The sequence below is a fragment of the Homo sapiens genome, chromosome X (assembly GCF_000001405.40).
Source record: "Homo sapiens chromosome X, GRCh38.p14 Primary Assembly".
Lineage (NCBI taxonomy): Eukaryota > Metazoa > Chordata > Mammalia > Primates > Hominidae > Homo > Homo sapiens.
Genome location: NC_000023.11, coordinates 269929 through 275938, shown reverse-complemented (window position 1 = coordinate 275938; position 6010 = coordinate 269929). Strand labels below are relative to the sequence as shown.

Genomic DNA, 6010 nt, shown 5'->3' with positions numbered 1-6010 from the left:
CGGGGTGAACAGGTGCTTTCATCTCGGCCCTGGGGTCAACGCATGGGGCCGGCAGTCCCAAGCCTGCAGGCTCTGAGCGCCTTGGCCAGCAAACCCACCGGGATCTTCCCCCTGCAGGTTCCGACCTCTCCCGCCCCGCGTGGCCCGGACCCTGGGCAGCCCGTGCCGCCTCCGTCGGTGGAAGTGGCTCCTCCCAGCGCAGCCCACGCCTGCGATCTCCCCCCCCGAGCCAACCTGGAGCTGACCAGGAGCCCAGGTCAGGGGTCTGTCCAGGGCCCCGTTCCTGCCTCCTCCTGGCTGCTTCCGGTCCACCCCGCAGGTGCTCCCCACGCACCCCGCTGTCTCCCACCCCGGGCTGGACTCCAGGACAGGGCCAGTGTGGGCTTCAGAGAGTGCACGGAACGTTTGGGGGCCGCAGTGGACGGCTCAAAGGGCTGCCTTGGGATCCCATGTTCCCGGGTGGAATTCTCCCGCATAGCCACGGCTGGGGCTTCTCTCCCTGCACCCCATTTCTGTCCCGGCTCCCTGTTTCCTCCCTCACCCCAGCTGTGGGGTACCTTGAGGGCGGCTGCTGTCCTGGCACAGGGACATCTGGTCGGCCTACAAGCCACAGGCCACCGGCCTCTCCGCCTCTTTCCATCCTAACTCAGGCCCCGTCACCTCCCCACACTCCGCCCTCCCCCCTGCTCCTCCTCCCCCTCCTCCTTCCTCCCCCTGCTCCTTCTCCATCCTCTCCCTCCTTCTTCCTGTCCATTGAGACTCCCCCTCTCTGCCCAAAGCCCCCTGTGGCTTCCTCTTGGCCCATCTGTTTCCTCCCTCCCCCTCCTCCCTCCTCCTCCTCCCTCCTCCCTTCACTGAGGCCCTGCGGGGACACCAGCCTCCTGGTTCCCGCCTCCTTCCACAGCCCTGGGAGAGTCTATAAAATGACCTGTGCCCTGGTGTGGCACGGGAGCAGGAAGCGGCTTCCACGCCTCCTCCCACAGTCACAGGGCCCGGCCCTTCCTCCCGCTGTGCCCCAGAGTCATGAGGACCAGAGGTCACAGGGCCCGGCCCTTCCTCTGTGTCCTGGTGTGATGTGGACTGTGGTCACAGGGCCCGGCCCTTCCTCTGTGTCCTGGTGTGATGTGGACTGTGGTCACAGGGCCCGGCCCTTCCTCCGTGTCCTGGTGTGATGTGGACTGTGGTCATGAGGCCCGGCCCTTCCTCTGTGTCCTGGTGTGATGTGGACTGTGGTCACAGGGCCCGGCCCTTCCTCTGTGTCCTGGTGTGATGTGGACTGTGGTCACGGGGCCCGGCCCTTCCTCTGTGTCCTGGTGTGATGTGGACTGTGGTCATGAGGCCTGGCCCTTCCTCTGTGTCCTGGTGTGATGTGGACTGTGGTCACAGGGCCCGGCCCTTCCTCTGTGTCCTGGTGTGATGTGGACTGTGGTCACAGGGCCCGGCCCTTCCTCCGTGTCCTGGTGTGATGTGGACTGTGGTCATGAGGCCCGGCCCTTCCTCTGTGTCCTGGTGTGATGTGGACTGTGGTCACAGGGCCCGGCCCTTCCTCCGTGTCCTGGTGTGATGTGGACTGTGGTCACAGGGCCCGGCCCTTCCTCTGTGTCCTGGTGTGATGTGGACTGTGGTCATGAGGCCTGGCCCTTCCTCTGTGTCCTGGTGTGATGTGGACTGTGGTCACGGGGCCCGGCCCTTCCTCTGTGTCCTGGTGTGATGTGGACTGTGGTCACGGGGCCCGGCCCTTCCTCTGTGTCCTGGTGTGATGTGGACTGTGGTCACGGGGCCCGGCCCTTCCTCTGTGTCCTGGTGTGATGTGGACTGTGGTCACGGGGCCCGGCCCTTCCTCTGTGTCCTGGTGTGATCTGGACTGTGGTCACGGGGCCCGGCCCTTCCTCTGTGTCCTGGTGTGATCTGGACTGTGGTCACGAGGCCCGGCCCTTCCTCTGTGTCCTGGTGTGATGTGGACTGTGGTCACAGGGCCCGGCCCTTCCTCTGTGTCCTGGTGTGATCTGGACTGTGGTCACAGGGCCCGGCCCTTCCTCTGTGTCCTGGTGTGATCTGGACTGTGGTCATGAGGCCTGGCCCTTCCTCCGTGTCCTGGTGTGATGTGGACTGTGGTCACAGGGCCCGGCCCTTCCTCTGTGTCCTGGTGTGATGTGGACTGTGGTCACAGGGCCCGGCCCTTCCTCCCGCTGTGCCCCAGAGTCATGAGGACCAGAGGTCACAGGGCCCGGCCCTTCCTCTGTGTCCTGGTGTGATGTGGACTGTGGTCACAGGGCCCGGCCCTTCCTCTGTGTCCTGGTGTGATGTGGACTGTGGTCACAGGGCCCGGCCCTTCCTCTGTGTCCTGGTGTGATGTGGACTGTGGTCACGGGGCCCGGCCCTTCCTCTGTGTCCTGGTGTGATGTGGACTGTGGTCACGGGGCCCGGCCCTTCCTCTGTGTCCTGGTGTGATGTGGACTGTGGTCACGGGGCCCGGCCCTTCCTCTGTGTCCTGGTGTGATCTGGACTGTGGTCACGGGGCCCGGCCCTTCCTCTGTGTCCTGGTGTGATCTGGACTGTGGTCACGAGGCCCGGCCCTTCCTCTGTGTCCTGGTGTGATGTGGACTGTGGTCACAGGGCCCGGCCCTTCCTCTGTGTCCTGGTGTGATGTGGACTGTGGTCACGGGGCCCGGCCCTTCCTCTGTGTCCTGGTGTGATGTGGACTGTGGTCACGGGGCCCGGCCCTTCCTCTGTGTCCTGGTGTGATGTGGACTGTGGTCATGGGGCCCGGCCCTTCCTCTGTGTCCTGGTGTGATGTGGACTGTGGTCATGAGGCCCGGCCCTTCCTCTGTGTCCTGGTGTGATGTGGACTGTGGTCACAGGGCCTGGCCCTTCCTCTGTGTCCTGGTGTGATGTGGACTGTGGTCATGAGGCCTGGCCCTTCCTCCGTGTCCTGGTGTGATGTGGACTGTGGTCACAGGGCCTGGCCCTTCCTCTGTGTCCTGGTGTGATGTGGACTGTGGTCACAGGGCCCGGCCCTTCCTCTGTCCTGGTGTGATGTGGACTGTGGTCACAGGGCCCGGCCCTTCCTCTGTGTCCTGGTGTGATGTGGACTGTGGTCACAGGGCCCGGCCCTTCCTCTGTGTCCTGGTGTGATGTGGACTGTGGTCATGAGGCCTGGCCCTTCCTCTGTGTCCTGGTGTGATGTGGACTGTGGTCACAGGGCCCGGCCCTTCCTCTGTGTCCTGGTGTGATGTGGACTGTGGTCACAGGGCCCGGCCCTTCCTCTGTGTCCTGGTGTGATGTGGACTGTGGTCATGAGGCCTGGCCCTTCCTCTGTGTCCTGGTGTGATGTGGACTGTGGTCATGAGGCCTGGCCCTTCCTCTGTGTCCTGGTGTGATGTGGACTGTGGTCACAGGGCCCGGCCCTTCCTCTGTGTCCTGGTGTGATGTGGACTGTGGTCACAGGGCCCGGCCCTTCCTCTGTGTCCTGGTGTGATCTGGACTGTGGTCATGAGGCCCGGCCCTTCCTCTGTGTCCTGGTGTGATGTGGACTGTGGTCACAGGGCCCGGCCCTTCCTCTGTGTCCTGGTGTGATGTGGACTGTGGTCACGGGGCCCGGCCCTTCCTCTGTGTCCTGGTGTGATGTGGACTGTGGTCACGGGGCCCGGCCCTTCCTCCGTGTCCTGGTGTGATGTGGACTGTGGTCACAGGGCCCGGCCCTTCCTCCGTGTCCTGGTGTGATGTGGACTGTGGTCATGAGGCCCGGCCCTTCCTCTGTGTCCTGGTGTGATGTGGACTGTGGTCACAGGGCCTGGCCCTTCCTCTGTGTCCTGGTGTGATGTGGACTGTGGTCATGAGGCCCGGCCCTTCCTCTGTGTCCTGGTGTGATGTGGACTGTGGTCACAGGGCCCGGCCCTTCCTCTGTGTCCTGGTGTGATGTGGACTGTGGTCATGAGGCCCGGCCCTTCCTCTGTGTCCTGGTGTGATGTGGACTGTGGTCATGAGGCCCGGCCCTTCCTCTGTGTCCTGGTGTGATGTGGACTGTGGTCACAGGGCCCGGCCCTTCCTCCGTGTCCTGGTGTGATGTGGACTGTGGTCACAGGGCCCGGCCCTTCCTCTGTGTCCTGGTGTGATGTGGACTGTGGTCACAGGGCCCGGCCCTTCCTCCGTGTCCTGGTGTGATGTGGACTGTGGTCACAGGGCCCGGCCCTTCCTCTGTGTCCTGGTGTGATGTGGACTGTGGTCATGAGGCCCGGCCCTTCCTCTGTGTCCTGGTGTGATGTGGACTGTGGTCACAGGGCCCGGCCCTTCCTCTGTGTCCTGGTGTGATGTGGACTGTGGTCACAGGGCCCGGCCCTTCCTCTGTGTCCTGGTGTGATGTGGACTGTGGTCATGAGGCCCGGCCCTTCCTCTGTGTCCTGGTGTGATGTGGACTGTGGTCACAGGGCCCGGCCCTTCCTCTGTGTCCTGGTGTGATGTGGACTGTGGTCACAGGGCCCGGCCCTTCCTCTGTGTCCTGGTGTGATGTGGACTGTGGTCACAGGGCCCGGCCCTTCCTCTGTGTCCTGGTGTGATGTGGACTGTGGTCACAGGGCCTGGCCCTTCCTCCCGCTGTGCCCCAGGGTCATGAGGACCGGAGGTCACAGTGCCCGGCCCTTCCTCTGTCCTGGTGTGATGTGGACTGTGGTCTCGGGGCCCAGCCCTTCCTCCCTCTGTGTCCTGGGCGGCCAGGTGTGGGCTGGACACGAGGGGAGGACATCACGTGGGCTGAGGGACGTGTCGTCCGTGCCTCGGTGCTGCCTGTGTTCTGCGAGCCGAGGGTTGTGAAGGGTGCTTGAGTGAAGTGGGCCAAGTGTGAGCCCCTGTAAATGGCTGTGACTTCCCTGTTGACCGTGCCCTTGTGTCCGACAAGGGGTGTTTGCAAACCCCTCCCAAGGCCGGGCACGGAAGCCCTTGGTCCAGCTGCTTCCTGGAATGGAAAACCCTCTCCTGCACTAGAAAATCCCATGACCCCGCGTTTGAGTTTCGAATATTTAGCATGGGGAGCACCCCTCCAATGGCTAGGAGAGACACCAGGCGGAGATAAAGGTTTGACTATTTACCAGTCCTGCATCCACGGCCGGCCTGCAGGCCCCACCCAGGCGGAGGTAAGGATTTGATTATTTATGGATCCCGGGTGCTGCAGGCCCCACCCAGGCGGAGGTAAGGATTTGATTATTTATGGGTCCCGGGTCCTGCAGGTCCCACGCAGGCGGAGGTAAGGATTTGATTATTTATGGGTCCCGGGTGCTGCAGGCCCCGCCCAGGCGGAGGTAAGGATTTGATTATTTATGGGTCCCGGGTGCTGCAGGCCCCACCCAGGCGGAGGTAAGGATTTGATTATTTATGGGTCCCGGGTGCTGCAGGCCCCACCCAGGCGGAGGTAAGGATTTGATTATTTATGGGTCCCGGGTGCTGCAGGCCCCGCCCAGGCGGAGGTAAGGGTTTGATTATTTATGGGTCCCGGGTGCTGCAGGTCCCACGCAGGCGGAGGTAAGGATTTGATTATTTATGGGTCCCGGGTGCTGCAGGCCCCACCCAGGCGGAGGTAAGGATTTGATTATTTATGGGTCCCGGGTGCTGCAGGTCCCACGCAGGCGGAGGTAAGGATTTGATTATTTATGGGTCCCGGGTGCTGCAGGCCCCACCCAGGCGGAGGTAAGGATTTGATTATTTATGGGTCCCGGGTGCTGCAGGCCCCGCCCAGGCGGAGGTAAGGATTTGATTATTTATGGGTCCCGGGCGCTGCAGGCCCCACCCAGGCGGAGGTAAGGATTTGATTATTTATGGATCCCGGGTGCTGCAGGCCCCACCCAGGCGGAGGTAAGGATTTGATTATTTATGGGTCCCGGGTCCTGCAGGCCCCGCCCAGGCGGAGGTAAGGATTTGATTATTTATGGGTCCCGGGCGCTGCAGGCCCCACCCAGGCGGAGGTAAGGATTTGATTATTTATGGGTCCCGGGTCCTGCAGGCCCCGCCCAGGCGGAGG

The 6010-nt window shown here is 63.1% G+C and overlaps 1 annotated feature.

Moving 5' to 3' along the window:
- Positions 4438–5019: an enhancer, noted in NCBI's record as "H3K4me1 hESC enhancer chrX:187587-188168 (GRCh37/hg19 assembly coordinates)". NCBI's record gives its function as "activates a minimal SCP1, AML or CMV promoter by ChIP-STARR-seq in naive H9 embryonic stem cells {active_cell/tissue: H9 hESC(naive)}" and the evidence as "EXISTENCE:reporter gene assay evidence [ECO:0000049][PMID:30033119]".